Source organism: Homo sapiens, chromosome 3, assembly GCF_000001405.40.
Source record: "Homo sapiens chromosome 3, GRCh38.p14 Primary Assembly".
Taxonomy (NCBI): domain Eukaryota; kingdom Metazoa; phylum Chordata; class Mammalia; order Primates; family Hominidae; genus Homo; species Homo sapiens.
This window is the reverse complement of record NC_000003.12, coordinates 36,532,849-36,548,923: the sequence shown is the minus strand read 5'-3', so window position 1 is coordinate 36,548,923 and position 16,075 is coordinate 36,532,849. Positions and strand designations below refer to the sequence as shown.

The following is a 16,075-nucleotide window of genomic DNA, read 5'->3' as shown; positions in this document are numbered from 1 at the left end:
GACTCATCTCTGCTCTGTGATGTCTGCCACCTCAGATGATGAAATATGTAGTCTTTCCACAGGGTCTTTCCTGCATGGTGGCCTCAGGGTAGTTGAAATTCTTATGGTATCTCAAGGTTCCAACAGTGAGTGTTCCAAGAGATCAAGGCTAAAGCTGCTTTTAAAACTTAACCTCAGATGCAATTTGAGATGGGGTCATTACTATGTTTTGAATATAGTTTGTCCCCTCTGAAACTCATGTTGAAATTTGATTGCCATTGTGGCTATATTGGGAGGTGGGCTGAATGGGAGGTGTTTGGGTCATGGGGAGAATCCATAATGAATAGATAATGCTATCCCACGGGTGTGAGTGAGTTCTTGCTCTCTTGGGACTGGGTTTGTTACTTCAAGAGTGAGTTGTTAAAAATCAAGGCTGCTCCTTGTGTTTGGTCTCTCTCTATTTCTTTGCACATGCCTACTTTCTATTCTGCTTCTCTGCCGTGTTATGATACAGCACATGGCCACCACCAGAAGCCAAATAAATGCCAGCGCTATGCTTCTTGGACTTCCTAGCCTCTAGAATTGTCAGCAAAATAAATCTCTTTTCTTTATAAATTAACCAGTCTCAGATATTCTGTTATAGAAACAGAAAATAGACTAAGACAGCCTTGTAGTACTACTTCTGCTGTGTTCTATTGGTCACATAAGACCAGCCCTGATTCAGTGTGGGAAGGGACTACACAAAGGAAAGAATATGAGGAGGTAGGGATCTTTGGGAGACTACCTTGGAGGCTAGATACCACATCTTCCTTCTATTCAACTGTAAAAGGCAAACTCATTTTTAAGATTCATCTTAATTAAACATGCATATGATGTGACATCATTGTACCAAAAAGTTAATGGATATCATGACAGAAAGAAGAGATCAGGACACATGTTTCTGATGCTCCTTTCCAGCCACTGTATTGTTTTTATTAAATGGAATACTGAATTAGAGGCAAAGAGCATTTGTACTAGGCATCCAATTTTACAGAAAGGCAGTCATATGATCTACCCTGGCTCTCAAAGAATCCATCTTGACATCGTACACCTGGTTTTGCATGTGGCATCAGAGAGGGAGGAAATTCTGGATGCTGGCTTTAAGATAAGAGTAAGGCATCCAAACTTCTGTGAAACCAGCAGCCATCCCCTCTCAGTTCCCAACTTCACACTGAGCGGGAACAAAAGAAATAAATGGAGATGAATGATGCTTTGGTTTGGGAAATAATGCTTACATGCATAGGATGCATCCACTTAAGTCTTTTAAAAACCATTGTTCTAATGATTTTATTGCTCTGTAACAAAATAAATCAAACTGACATTGATTCCAAGGTGATTGTGAATTGAAGTTTAACCATGTTAATGACTAATAGGATGGAAGTTTGAATGCTAGGAGGCTTGAGTAGGAAGGCATCACAGTATATTGCATTCTTGTAAACATTAGTATAAGTACAGAGTAATAGAGATTCCCCTAGATGATGCTAATTGGGCCCCTAGTTCCTCTACTTTCTGAAGGAAGAAGCATTAGGATTCTTTTCCATTTTACATCTGCTAGGATTTCATATACTGCCCTAAAGAAGAATGGACTCCAATTTGGCTACATTTCTTCTAAGATGCTGTTGTTGGTTCCCCTCCATGTTCCTAGTTCCCTGCAACGTAGGCACAACCTTCAAAGTGGAGTCCTATAGGACAGCATGAGGGAAAAGTGCTGCCTCCAATAGAGAGGATGTAAAATGAAAATGGAGACTTTTTGTGATAGTCTCTTCCCCAGGTCCATTGCCTTCAAGCAGGGACTTCATAACCGAAAGGGCTGTATAATCTTCAATAAGTAAGAACTCTCTGCTCCACCTTTCCCCACTTCTCCTCCCCACTGTATCTATGTCTCATGTCCTGCTCTGTCACCCAGGCCAGTACCTAGAACAGCAGGAAGGATGGCCTGTCATCAGTCTTTAGGCAGGTCAGGTCTTTGGAGGTGATGCCATGTCAACATAGCCCTCACATCTAATGCACACCACCAGATGTACTCAGAGGACTGAAGAGAAAGAAAGAACAAGCTGGACACTCTGGACAGCACAATCACAAAGAGAGGAAGCCTGGAGAGCACTGGAATGCTGGGGGCTGGGAAGCAGGTCTTTCTGATGCTTTGCACAGAGATTGCTTGGGGCCTGAAATGTGATGACACTGACTGATTGGTACTGGTGACATAGGTCTGGAAGCAGGATAATACTTAGCTACATGGATCTGAACCTTGCACTGGGCTACCCTGCAAACTGGAGCACACTCCAGTGTGTTAACTTACACCACACAGACAGGAAAGGAGTGGGATCCTGGGGGACAGCTGTGGTTTATAGTCCTACTGCTGCTGCCAAGCATGGCATCTGGCTCTGCCTGCTGACTCTCTCAGCCTCGTCCCCACCTGTGGCAGCCTGGATATGCTGTGCAGTGGGCCCTCTGTTTTGTGGCTATTACTCCACAGTCTCAGATACTTGATTCTTGTCTCACTGTTTCCTGGGGGGCTGGGTCAGTGCGGCAGCTCCTTTGGGTTGACGCAGTGTGAGATGAGGCAGAGGCATCGCAGCAGAGCTTGCCTACTGCAAACGGAGGAGGAGCCAGCAATCAGATGTTTTCTAGTACATCAAGGGGGATGAGGCCTTTCTTTTTTCCACTGAGGACTCTGATAAAACCATCTTGTTCTTCTTCAGAACTCACGCAGATCTGAATGCCAAGGAAGAAAAAAAACAAAATACTTTACTGTCAGCAAGAACGAAGTTAGAACCTGCAGCTTGAATCCCTGCTGACTGAGGTTGCAGGAGCAACAAACTGGAAAAGGGAGAGCAGTTTTAGGGTGGGAAACCAGCACAGTGAGAAAAAGGTTTGATAAAAAATTAGGCAAAAACCTAGGTTTGGAATGAGGCCCAGGCATTGAATGTTTTCTGAAATTTAGCTTTATGAATGAGGATCAATAAAATGAGGATTAATAGTACTGTGACCCTCTGAAGAGTCACTGTGAGGACAGAATGAGATAATAATGTTTGTCAAGGAGCCTAGCATGTGGCATGCAATGAATTCTCAGGACATTATTTTAAAGGACCAAAATAATAGCTATCATTCAGCAGACTCCTGTCATGTGCTCAGAATTTTATATGCACCTCATATAACATCAGGAAGTCAAAGGGAACTATTTCACTCCTGGCCTCAAGCAAATAGATGCTAACATTTCCCATATTCTAAAGTAAGGCCACCTATGCTAGACTTTAAAAAGGGGTTGGTAAACATTCATTTGGATACTCTTGCCACTCACCACTCATTGGCCACTGAAGGGCATAGAAGGGTGGATGTGGGCAGATGAAAATTAGAAGAGGTTTATGAACAGAACTATTGTTGTGTTGTGAGTTTCTCTTGCCTCACCTGCTTCCATGGATGACAGGCCTTGTCTTAGGTTGGATTCCCCAGAAACAGAACCTGACACAGGGTTCCTTGTACAAGTGACTTATTGAGTGGGTGCTCTCAGGAGGTGGGAAGTGAGGGATGCAGGATGGGGCAGGGGAAGGAGCCCAGCAATGAGAGGTTTTCAGCTGGAAAGCAGTCTAGCTTGGTTCGCCTGGGAGCTCTGGAGCATGAATTGCATCACAGAATTGTCTCACTTTGAAGCTAGGGTTTCAGACTTTTGAACCCCATGTCAGTCAGTCATTGGCCATTGGCTGGCCTGTAGTGTGATGGGCATAACCTTCCAGGAGAGAGGGTCCTGCTGTCTCATAAGGCCCTCCCTGAGAAGGGCAGCTGTGAGTTGTTCGTGGCCAACATAGCAACTGGGAGATGAGTGCACCCACCTGGTGAAAGGGATCTGAGCAAGGCTCCAACAGAAGCCACCACAGTGGGCTCTTCCATCATGTAGAAGAAGGGGCTTGAATAGGACACTCAAAGAGCTTGATTTGTGACTCCTGGAGCTTGGGACATACAATGGACTGGTATCTGACTCGTGCTTCAGAGATCTACTGTGTGAGAAACTTGACTAGATAGAGGCTCAGACAGTGAAGTGAAGAGAAGATAATTTGTAAGAGTAGTGGATGTGTTGACTGTTTCATGAAGAGCAGATGTGGGTCACTTGTGAGAGAAGTAGCTGATGGGTCATGTTAGGTCCCTTGACATGACTTCAAAAGGGATGGAATACTTGATTTTCAAAAGCTGAGACCTACAACTTTTTTCATATGTTTGTTAACAAACGTGCACGTTCTGCAAGCGCATCCCAGAACTTAGAGTATAAAATAAATAAATAAATACATGCCCAACATAGTACCAGATGACCTAGGTGATACAAAGGGAGCACAAAACATAGTTTTTGCCCTCAGAATAATAGGGTCTAATCAGAATGAAAACTTGTACCTCCACAAAATAAATAAATAAACAAATAAATAAATAAATAAATGCAGACACCTGGCCGGGTGCGGTGGCTCATGCCTGTAATCCCAGCACTTTGGGAGGCCGAGATGGGTGGATCACTTGGGGTCAGGAGTTCATGACCAGCCGGGCCAATGTCGTGAAACCCCATCTCTACAAAAAATACAAAAATTAGCTGGGTGTGATGGTGCATGCCTGTAATCCCAGCTACTCAGGAGGCCGAGGCAGGAGAATGGCTTGAACCTTGGAGGCAGAGGTTGCAGTGAGCCGAGATCACATCAGGGCACTCCAGCCTGGGTGGCAAAGCTGAGACCTGCCATTGCCCATGCCAGTAATACTGAAAGGGGGAGGCTCCAGTGATGAGCAGGGAGTGTGTCTTGGAAGAACACACAAAAATGCCTTGAGAGGAGGATTTACCTTTATAATTTGCCAAAGAGTGTGTTTTCTCACCTACTTCTACGTGTCAAAATTCAACAACCCTTAATATGAGTCCTACCAGTCAGCATCAATAAAAATATAAACACCCGCCCTTTGAGTATGCTGGTTCTAGGTGAAACATGAACCATGAAAACATGTTGAATTTAAATATTTAAATTAAAAAATCAAACTTGAAAACAATTTATTGACATATACACACAAGAATGCTGTATTGTGGTAATGTGGAAGAGTGAGAATACTGGGCAAGGAGTCAGAACATTGAAATTCTGGCCAGAGCTAAGAGCCTTACACCATTACTCCATGCCTTGGAACAAACAAAACCTGGACTGACCCAAAAAATGTCTTTTGGGTCATTTTCAGAGCATTTCATTATCTCTGTGAAGAACGAATTTCAGTTCTTGGAGCAAAAACACCACTGAGGTTCAAATATGTGCCTATATATAAGATAGACCTTTGCTTTTTTCTCTTCTCTTTCAAGGTTTTTATGTAGAAGAGAAACATTGCTTGCTAGAGGCTGTGGAAGAGTTGTTCGGAAGTGTCTCTGAAATAGGAAGCCAAGAAGCACAATGGTTCATGCTTTGTTGAATGCACTGGCTTATTTTCAACCTTCCTGTTTGGCATCTCTAAAGTGCTTTGATTTTGGGAGACCTTTTTACGGATGAGAAGTTTTGAAGATGATGAGTACAAATGGCTGAACACAGGCTTCAGCCGCTTTGACTCTATCCAGAAATGAGGAATCCAGAATTTAAAATTCTGATGGTAAAATACATAACCTCTCAGCCTTGAGAATCTACCATTTTAGGAAACAATGGCAGAGCCTGAAACATTTCCATTCATTTAGAGGCAGAATGGAAATATCTTCCCAGAAGATTAGTTACAGGTGGAAAAGAGTGGAAAGTGAGGACAGGGGAACTCTTTTGGTTTGGAGGGCCATAAATAGAGGGTGACCAACTTGTCTCGGTTTGCTCAGGACATTCTCAATATTAGCACTGAAAGTCCTAAGTCCTTCAAAACCCTTCAATTCCAAACTGTAATTGAACAGTTGATCTCCCTAGCAGAAATGTTTTACTCATCAGGTACAGTTAGAGATATTTTCATTGCCTAAGGATCCTCAATTTCCTGCTTTCCTTATTTATTCACTCATTCAACAACTCTTTATTGAGTACCTACTATGTGTTAGATACCATTATAAATGCTGGGGAACTAGTGCAATACAAGACAGACGGATCCCTGACAGAGATTTCTGGGTACAGCTGTCCCAGCTGACATTTATTGAGAAATCAACAATGTGGTGAGTGCAAGGGCTGTGGCTGTTTTGATGGCTGATTGTCCTGTGGACAACATTTAGTAATCTGACTGACAACATAAAACATAATATTTTTTTGCATGACTTAATGAATAAAGAAAAGAGTACTAATGGAAATACTTATGGAAACCTGATCTAGCCAATGGGGTAAGAAACACCTTCTTGAAGAAGTGATATTTAAAGAAAGAGAAAAAGGTGTAGGAAGGAGGAAAATAAGACTAGAATCAGAAAAATTCCAGCCTCAAGAGACTGGGACACTTTGAAGTAATGGAAAAAATTCAGTGTACCAGAACAGAGAGATGGAGGGACTAATGGGTGTAAGATGAAGCCACAAAATCTGTCAGAGCCTAGAGTATGCAGGAAATGCAAGCCACGCTAAATTCTGCTAAGACCTTTGGCTGACCTTCTGATCTGTCTCATGGACTAGAATTGGGCCACAAGCAAACCACTAAAGTCATCACCGACAAGGAGAATGGGATCAATTCAGTTAGCATTGCCTGAGTCATTTAAGATATAGGTGGACAACAGAACAAAATCAGGGCTCTGCAGCATGGGAAAAGGGCAAACAGGTGTTAAAAGGTTTTAATTGGAGGAATAAGGTGATCAGATTTATTTAAAACAATTCTTTCTATTCTCCTTTCCCCTCCCTTCTCTTCCCTTCCCTTTCCTCTTCTCCTCTCCCCTACCCTTGACTTTCCTCCTTTCCCTTCCCATCTTTATCTGTCCTGTTTTTTTCTCCTGCCACCCATTCTCTCTCCATCCTTCCTCCCTCTCTCTAACATAAAGAGACTTCCTGAAAGCTGGACAAATTTTCTTCCCATACTGATAAATCCTGACCTGACCAGCCAGCTTGTTGACATGAGCATCATGTATGCAGCAGTGGTAAGCTGGATGTCCCAACACCAAGGTAAGTGCAGCATATGCAGAGCAGAGGCACCTCACATACACAGCATCCCATCTCTAGCCAGCCCAGCACATACCTAACCATGTAGCTCAGCTATGGCCAGCTCCTCAGCATCTCTCAGAAACTTTGCTTTCCTAGTATGGGACACAGGCAGTTTACGGTCTTCTGGATTCGAATGCCTTACTCAATTTCCTCCCAATCTCATTCTCCAGAGCCTAGACTCTTTAATGGCTTGGAGGTCCTTGCTTTGGAGTTAAATGTTAACATTCAGTGTTCCATCTTTGATATTTTAGACTCCTGATCACACATCCATGTCCTCTACATTGGTTTTTGAATTTTGTGGAAACTGAGCTGGAGCCAGACTAATTCACTCACCATTTCAGCTGGGCAACCTTAGTTCTGCATCAATCACTCACTGTTCTAGGATAACTAAAACCTTGAGGCAAACACTGATGATTGGTACTCATGGTCATTTCTGTCGTTTTCCCACGAAGCAGAGTCCTGCCTTTCATTCTGTTGCCCATCCCTATCCTATGTGACTTAGGTAAATTTAATTGATCCAAGTCCTGTTTCTGTCCTCCTTGTTAGTGATTCTTAGTGGTTTACATAGAACTTAGTTCCAGCCAATGAAGCAAGATGAAATACCTGCTAGGGAAACTCTGGGAAAGTTTTTTTTTTCTTCCCCCCTATTAAAAGAGATGCCTTAGGAAGAAAATCTTTCTTTGTCTGGAAGGATTCCTGGAGTGGCTGCAGCCATCTGTGACCACTAGGGGACGTAGCTATCATTTCAAGGATAGCTTAGCAGAAATGTGGAAGAATTTGGTTCTCTGACCAGAGGATCAAGCCACTGAATTATCAACCCAAGAACTGACCTCTATCAGACTCTTTATTATAGGAGTAAAATAGACCCTTTAAGTTTGAGTTTGATTTTTGTAACTTGAGATGTTTATTCATTTGCTATTACTGTTGTAACAAATCACCACAAATTTAGAAGCCTTAAACAACACCATTTATTATATCACAGTTTTGTAGGTCTAGCGGACTTGGCTGGTTTTCTCTGCTCTGGGTTTTATAAGGCCAAAATCACGGAGTCAAAAGGGCTCTATTCCTTCCTTTCTTTGCTTTTTCTATAGGGGATTATTTAATTTTAGGCTCATTTAGGATGTTGCTGCGTTCAGCTCCCTGTGGCTGGAGGACTGAGATGCCTGTTTCCAGCTTCTAGAGGCCACCCTCATCCTCTGGCTTGTGGTCCCCTTTCTCCATCTTCACATCCATTAATGGTAGGCTGAGTCTTTCTCATACTTTATCTCTCTTTGACTTACACTTTTACCTCATTTTTCATCTGTCCTCTTCTGCTGCATCTCCCTGACTCTAGCCAGATACATTTCTCTGTTCTTAAGGGCTCAAGTGATTAGATTTGGTCCACCTAGACAATCTAGGGTATCTCCCTATCCCAGAGTCCATAACCTTCATCACATCTGCAAAGTCCCTTTTGTGTAAACTCTGGATTAGTTTCCTGTTGTTGCTACAATAAATTACCCCAAATTTGGTGGCTTATAACAACACAAATTTATTATCTTACAGTTCTAGGGTTCAGAAGTCCTAAGAACAAGGTGCTGGCAGGGCTGCATTCTTTCTAGAGGCTCTAAGAGAGAGTCTGTTTCCTTGTCTTTTCCAGCTCTAGAGGTCATCACCTATATTCCTTGGCTCACAGCTCCTTCCTTCACCTTCAAGGCCAGGAGCATAGCATCTTCAAATCTCTCTCTCTCTCTGACCCCGGCTTCCATCATCACATCTCCTTCTCTGACGCTGGCCCTCCTGTCTCCCTCTTCTAAGAATCTCTGTGATTACACTGGGCTCACCCTGATAATCCAGATAATCTACTGGTCACAAAATCTTTAACTTAATCACATCTACAAAATTCCTTTTGTCATATAAAGTAACATATTCCAAGTTTTGGAGGTTAGGACCCGGGCATCTTTGGGGAGTTGTTATTCTGCCTACCACAGGATAAAAGGACCAAGACTATTACAATAAAACATTTTAAAAATTACAGAAAATATGCATGTATGTCTCAGAGTTCTCCTTTCAGACATACTGAATGCAGTAGGTTGAAGGAAGACTTGGCCTCAGTGTTATAAGGAGAAAATATCTCGAGGTAAAGAGATGATGCAATGAGACACAAAGAAAACATGCTGTATAGCAAAGGCATAGATTCAACCTAAATGCCCATCAATGGTAGACTGGATAAAGAAAATATATGTACCCCAAATCTGGGGTACATATACACCATGGAATACTAAGCAGCCATAAAACAACAAGATCATGTCCTTTGCAGGGATATGGATGGAGCTGGAGGCCATTGTCCTTAGCAAACTAACACAGGAACAGAAAACCAAAAAAATACTGCATGTTCTCACTTGTAAGTTGGAGCTAAATGATGAGGACACATGGACACACAAAGGGGAATAACACACACTGGGACCTTTTAGGGGGTGAAGGGTGGGAGGATGGAGGGGATCAGAAAAAATAACTAATGGGTGCTAGGCTTAATACCTAGGTGAGGAAATAATCTGTACAACAAAACCCCAGGACACAAGTTTAACTATATAACAAACCTGCACTGTACCCCTGAACTTAAAATAAAAGTTAAAGAAAAGAAAAGAAAATATTCTGTAGAAGAAAGGGGCTGACTGAGAAGAAAAGTCTACCGGGAAATAAATACTAAACTAACATGTATTAGAAGCAATGAAAGACTGAATTGAAACTTCAGAAAAATCAAAGTGAAGTGAGGACTATCTTGAAACAGTCTCTTGGGAGGAATCAGAGAGAGATAGAGAAGTGTAAAATAATAAAGACACTAAAACTATAAAGGAAACATGGTAAACCAGAAATGATCCAACCAAAGAATGATTAAGCTCCTGGAGAAAGAGGCATTGAGAGTGAAGGGCAAATGATAAACTAGAGAAAATATTGGTCACATGTGGTACAGCAGACATAAATATTCTTCAAAGGTAGAAAACTTTTTAAATAATGTAAGAAAATGGGCAAAGTACATAAATAGATTATTTTAAAAAATGCCCTATATATATGAGATAAAATGTAAGCCTCTTTAACCATCCAGAAAATGCAGATTAGCATGAAATATTATTAATCTATCAAACTGACATAACAAAAAATAATAATGTTAAATTCTTGCAAGCATGTGATGATCTGGATATGCTCATGAACATCTGGTGTGAGTGTGTAAGTTGGCACGACCTTTCTGAATGCAATTTGGCAGTATGCATCAAGAATTGTACACGTCTTGATCTGTTTTCCGCTAAATTCCAAAGTACATCCTAAGAAAATAATCAGAGTTAGAGACAAATATTTATGTTCAGAGATGTTCATTGCAGTTATCAATAACAGTTTTAAAAATAAAAACTCTGAATATCCAATAACAAGAGAAACTTAAACACATTCCTGTACATCTAGACTAAGGATTGGCAAACTTTTTCTATAAAGGGCCAAATGCTAAATATTGTAGGCTTTGCAGGCCATCTGGTCTCTGTTGCAGTGACTCAACTCAGCTATTTAGTTGTAGCATGAAAGCAGCCGCAGACCATATATATATGAATAAATTTAGCTATGTTCTAATAAAACTTTCTTAAAACCTGTGTTTTGATAAACATTTAATGACTAAATTTTTTAAATGTTAGGAAACTAAAGAGGATATGATATCAAAATATGAATTAAAAGTTTGACATGAAATATGCCAGTGTTTATGTTGGTAATAATTTAATGGTTGAATTGCTTATGGTCTCTATTTTATCTTTTATACCTCTTAAAAATATTTTCCCTCAAATTTTCTCCAAAATAAATGCATTTTGGTTTTGTAATATAAAATATTTTTTTCTGTTTTTTTTTAAAGCTTTGATAGAACACAAATAATAAATGAAAATGGTTCTATAGGTGCAATAAAACTATGCATCAATTTAAATAATTTTTTTTCAGGAGGATCTTTAATTAATGTTTGGTCAACTAGAGTAAAATAGACTGAATTCCACATAAATATTCAATTTATGGACTTAGTTAATTTTCCTAAGTATTTTAAAGTCCACTTTTTAGATCAGTATTTTTTGTTTTCTTTTTAAAAATTTTTATTTTATTTTAAGTTCCAGGATATATGTGCAGGATGTGCAGGTTTGTTAGATAGGTAAATGTGTGCCATGGTGGTTTGCTGCACCTATCAACCCATCACCTAGGTATTAAGCCCACGTGCATTATATTTTTATCCTGATGCTCTCCCTCTCACTACCCCACCACGCCCCTGCCCCAACAGGCCCTAGTGTGTGTTGTTCCCTCCCTGTGTCCATGTGTTCTCATTGTTCAGCTCCCATTTATGACTGAGAACATGCAGTGTTTGGTTTTCTGTTCCTGCATTAGTTTGATGAGGATAATGGCTTCCAGCTCCATCCATGTCCCTGCAAAGGACATGATCTTATTCCTTTTTATGGCTGCATAGTATTCTATGGTGTATGTGTACCATATTTTCTTTATTCAGTCTTTCATTGATGGGCATTTGGGTTGATTCCATGTCTTTGCTATTGGGAATAGTGCTGCAATGAACATATGCATGCATTTATCTTTATAATAAAATGATTTATATTCCTTTAGGTATATACCCAGTAATGGGATTGCTGGGTCAAAGGGTATTTCTGGTTCTAGGTTTTTGAGAAATTGCCACACTATCTTCCACAATGGTTTAATTTACATTCCCACCAACAGTGTAAAAGCATTCCTATTTCTCCACAGCCTCATCAGCATCTGCTGTTTCTTGACTCTTTAATAATCACCATTCTGACTGGAGTGACATGGTACTCTTTGTGGTTTTGATTTTCAGTTCTCTAATGATCAGTGATGTTGAGCTTTTCTTCATATGTTTGCTGGCCATATAAATATCTTCTTTTGAGAAGTGTCTGTTCTTGTCCTTTGCCCACTTTTTATTGGGGTTTTTTTTTTTTTGTTTTTTGTTTTCTTGTTTTTTTTGTAAATTTGTTTAAGTTCTTTGTAGATTCTGGATATTAGATCTTTGTCATATGGGTAGATTGCAATAATTTTCTCCCATTCTGTAGGCTGTCTGTTCACTCTGATAGTTTCTTTTGCTGTGCAGAAGCTCTTTAGTTTAATTAGATCCCCTTTGTCAATTTTTGCTTTTGTTGCAATTGCTTTTGATGTTTTCGTCAGGAAGTCTTTGCCTGTGCCTATGTCCTGAATGGTTGAGTTAATTTTTGTATAAGGTGTAAGAAAGGGGTCCATCTTCAATCTTCTGCATATGGCTAGCCCACTTCCCAAGCACCATTTATTAAATAGGGACTCCTTTCCCCATTGCTTGGTTTTGTCAGATTTGTCAAAGATTAGATGGTTGTAGATGTGTGGTCTTATTTCTGAGACCTCTATACTGTTCCACTGGCCTATGTATCTGTTTTTGTACCAGTACCATGCTGTTTTGGTTATTGTAGCCTTGTAGTATAGCTTGAAGCCAGGTAGCGGGATGCCTCCAGCTTTGTTCTTTTTGCTTAGGTTGCCTTGTCTATACAGGCTCTTTTTTGGTTCCATAAGAATTTTAAAGTAGTTTTTTTTTCTAATTCTGTGAAGAATGTCAATGGCCATACACCCTCCCAAGACTGAACTGGGAAGAAGTTGAATCCCTGAATAGACCAATCACAAGTTCTGAAATTGAGGCAGTAACAAATAGCCTACCAACCAAAAAAAGCCCAGCACCAGACAGATTTACAGCTGAATTCTACCAGAGGTACAAAAAGGAGCTGGTACCATTTCTTCTGAAACTATTCCAAACAATTGAAAAGGAGGGACCCCTCCCTAATTCATTTTGTGAGGCCAGCATCATCCCGGTACTAAAACCTGGCAGAGACACAACAAAAAAAGAAAACTTCAGGCCAATATCCCTGATGAAGATCGATGTAAAAATCCTTGGTAAAATACTGGCAAACTGAATCCAGCAGCACATCAAAAAGCTTATTCACCATGATCAAGTTGGCTTCATTCTTGGGATGCAAGGCTGGTTCAACATATGCAAATCAATACATGTAATTCACATATAAACAGAACTAAAGACAAAAACCACATGATTATTTCAATAGATGCAGAAAAGGCCTTCAATAAATTTCAACGTCCATTCATTTTAAAAACTCTCAATAAACTAGGTATTGAAGGAACGTACCTCAAAATAATAAGAGCCATTTATGGCAAACCCACAGCCAATATTATACCGAATGGGCAAAAGCTGGAAGCATTCTCCTTGAAAATTGGCACAAAAAAGATGCCCTCTCTCGCCACTTCTATTCAACATAGTATTAGAAGTTCTGGCCAGGGCAATCAGGCAAGAGAAAGAAACAACAGGTATTCAGATAGGAAGAGAGGAAGTCAAAATGTCTCTGTTTGCAGATGTCATGATCCTATATCAAGTAAACTCCATCATCTCAGCCCAAGCTTCTTAAGCTGATTCACAGCTTTGGCAAAGTCTCAGGATACAAAATCAATGTTCAATAATCACAAGCATTACTATACGCCAACAACGGACAAGCAGAGAGCCAAATCGTGAATGAACTCCCATTCACAATCGCTACAAAGAGTCTAAAATACCTAGAATACAGCTAACAAGGCGAGTGAAGGATCTTTTCAAGGAGAACTACAAACCACTGCTCAAGGAAGTAAGAGAGGACACAAACAAATGGAAAAGCATCCCATGCTCATGGATAGAAAGAAAAAGTATCATGTAAATGGCCATACTCCCCAAAGTAATTTATAGATTCAATGTTATTCCCATTAAAGAAATGTTTTATGGTATTTTAAAGTCGATTTAATAAGGATACATTTTAAAATTTAAAAATGAAGAGGCCAGGTGCAGTGGCTTATGCCTGTAATCCTAGTACTTTGGGAGGCTGGGGATCACTTGAGTCTAGGACTTCGAGACCAGCCTGAGCAACATGTCAAAACCCCACTTCTACATTAAATACAAAAATCATCTGGGCATGGTAGTGCACACCTGTGGTCCCAGTTGATTGGGAGGCTGAGGTGGGAGGATTACCTGAGCCTAGGGAGTGAGACCCTGCCTCACAAAAAGAAGATGAAGAAGAACAACAAGGAGGAGGAGGAAGAGGAGGAAAAGGAGGAGGAGGAAACAGAAAACATACTTGTATCAATGCAAACTCTCATTGTGTTCATAACAAATGGATAACTATATTTGGAAACAAGAGCTCTGCAAAAAAAAAATACAATAATTATGAGACAGATTAACCCCAGAAGTAGAAAATGTGATTTAATCAAAGATGTGCATTGCATTTATCTTTAGAATCAAATTTCTTTTATTTTCTTGTTAATGTCCATTTGTCTCTTCATATTTGTAGGGTTATAAATATCATATTGGCTATTTTCTGGTGCTTACTGGGTAAGTTTAGGTGGCATTAACCACTGCAGATGAATTCCTCATTTAGGCTTTACTCTTTAGTGATAACGGTAGCCAGGAAAATGACTTCTGCTATGCATTTGTGGTGGCCAGGCACTGTGCTAAGGCTTTATATAGGTGAGCACATTTAACTCTCACATCAAGTTCAAGAGAGAGATGCTACTATGCTGATGAGAAGGTTGACATTCAGAGGCTACTTTGTCAAAATCACACAGGATATAGATCCATTTCTGTATGACACTAGTATCTGTGCTCTTTCTATTACATACTCCCTGCAATTAACAAGCATATTTTGAAATCTTCAACCTAAAATAACTTAGGACACTAAAGTGGAGACAAATTTTGAAATTTGTTTCTAAAATTGATTTTTAAAAGCATTTTTTTCTTTGAAATGGCTGATGTATTTAAAAAATTGATACTATCTTTATTACCTGAGTGGTGAAATAATCTGTACACCAAACCCCCGTGACATGCAATTTGCCTATATAAGAAACCTGCACATGTTGTACCCCTGAACCTAAAATAAAAGAAGACAATAATTATGAGCAGACTCATTTGGTTCCAGGTTCAGGCTGAAATGCTCTGTTGCATCTTGAACGTGTCTAGCTGAAGAGGCTGAATTGTTTGCCTTACCTCCTCCACACCCCAAACCCTAGCAGATTCAGTTTAACCATGAGGGCAGAGAATGCAGGTATGAGGCCCAGTCCCAGAAAAAAAATTGTGGGGAATATGCCAAGGAATTGGTGGGAGTCACTGAACAGATGTTCTGCTTGTAGAAATTGATCAACTTGAGCAAATTTTAATTTGCCTTCTGGTTTCACTGATTGGATTTTAATAACATAAAAACAATGTTTGACCTCAAATGGGAAAGCATAAGATTATTCTGAAAAAAAAAAAAAAAAAAAAAAAAAAACATGCTAGCAAGATTATTGAGTAACACTTTGCCAATAAAGATGAACATTCTTCCCAAATTTATTTTATTCAAAGACTTTCCAAATTTTTGGAACAGGAAGGATACAGTTGGGTAAACTTGGGGAAGGTTGAAGTGTTGGCATGGAATCAAGCTGGGAAAAGTGCCCATTTGCTTTGCGAGTTGTGTATCGCATCAGAGATGGGGTGTCAGTCTGATGATGATGCCTGTGCCTGGAATCAAGAATGACCCAATAGGGAGCCCACATGAGCAAGAACTTGTATTCAAGGAGTCTTTTGGTCCCAAGACAACTTCCTTTATGACACTCTTCATCCTTGGGAACCAAGCTGCTCTTTACTGTTCAGAGTTCTTTCCACATTGTTAAGGGCACATGGCTAGTGGAAAGCCTTGACTTGGGGTTTGCAGACCTGTGTTTATGTTCCATTCTGGACACTTACTAGGCTTTTGCCCCTTGAGCAAGACACATAACCTCTATGAGTGTTTGTTTTCTCATTTATAAAATAGAAATAATGAATCCATAAAATTCACAGGGCATGTGTATAAACTTTATTTATACAGTGTGTCTGTATGACTTTAAATAATGACTAATAATTATGATTCTTATAACAA

General features: G+C 40.0%; 1 protein-coding gene across 9 annotated transcripts in view; it reads right to left on the bottom strand.

Moving 5' to 3' along the window:
* Nucleotides 1-916: 916 nt before the first annotated feature.
* STAC (SH3 and cysteine rich domain) overlaps nucleotides 917-16,075 on the bottom strand; it is a 167,504-nt gene continuing 152,345 nt past the window's right edge. For 7 of the 9 annotated variants that reach the window (XM_047448767.1, NM_003149.3, NM_001292049.2 and 4 more), the window contains one exon: nucleotides 917-2,733. In XM_047448767.1, coding sequence (XP_047304723.1) covers nucleotides 2,635-2,733 — 99 coding nt within the window. In that variant the 3' untranslated portion in view covers nucleotides 917-2,634. Of the gene's footprint in view, nucleotides 2,734-15,495; nucleotides 15,679-16,075 lie in introns of those variants that run through there. The other 2 variants (XM_047448768.1, XM_047448770.1) reach the window with 1 other exon arrangement.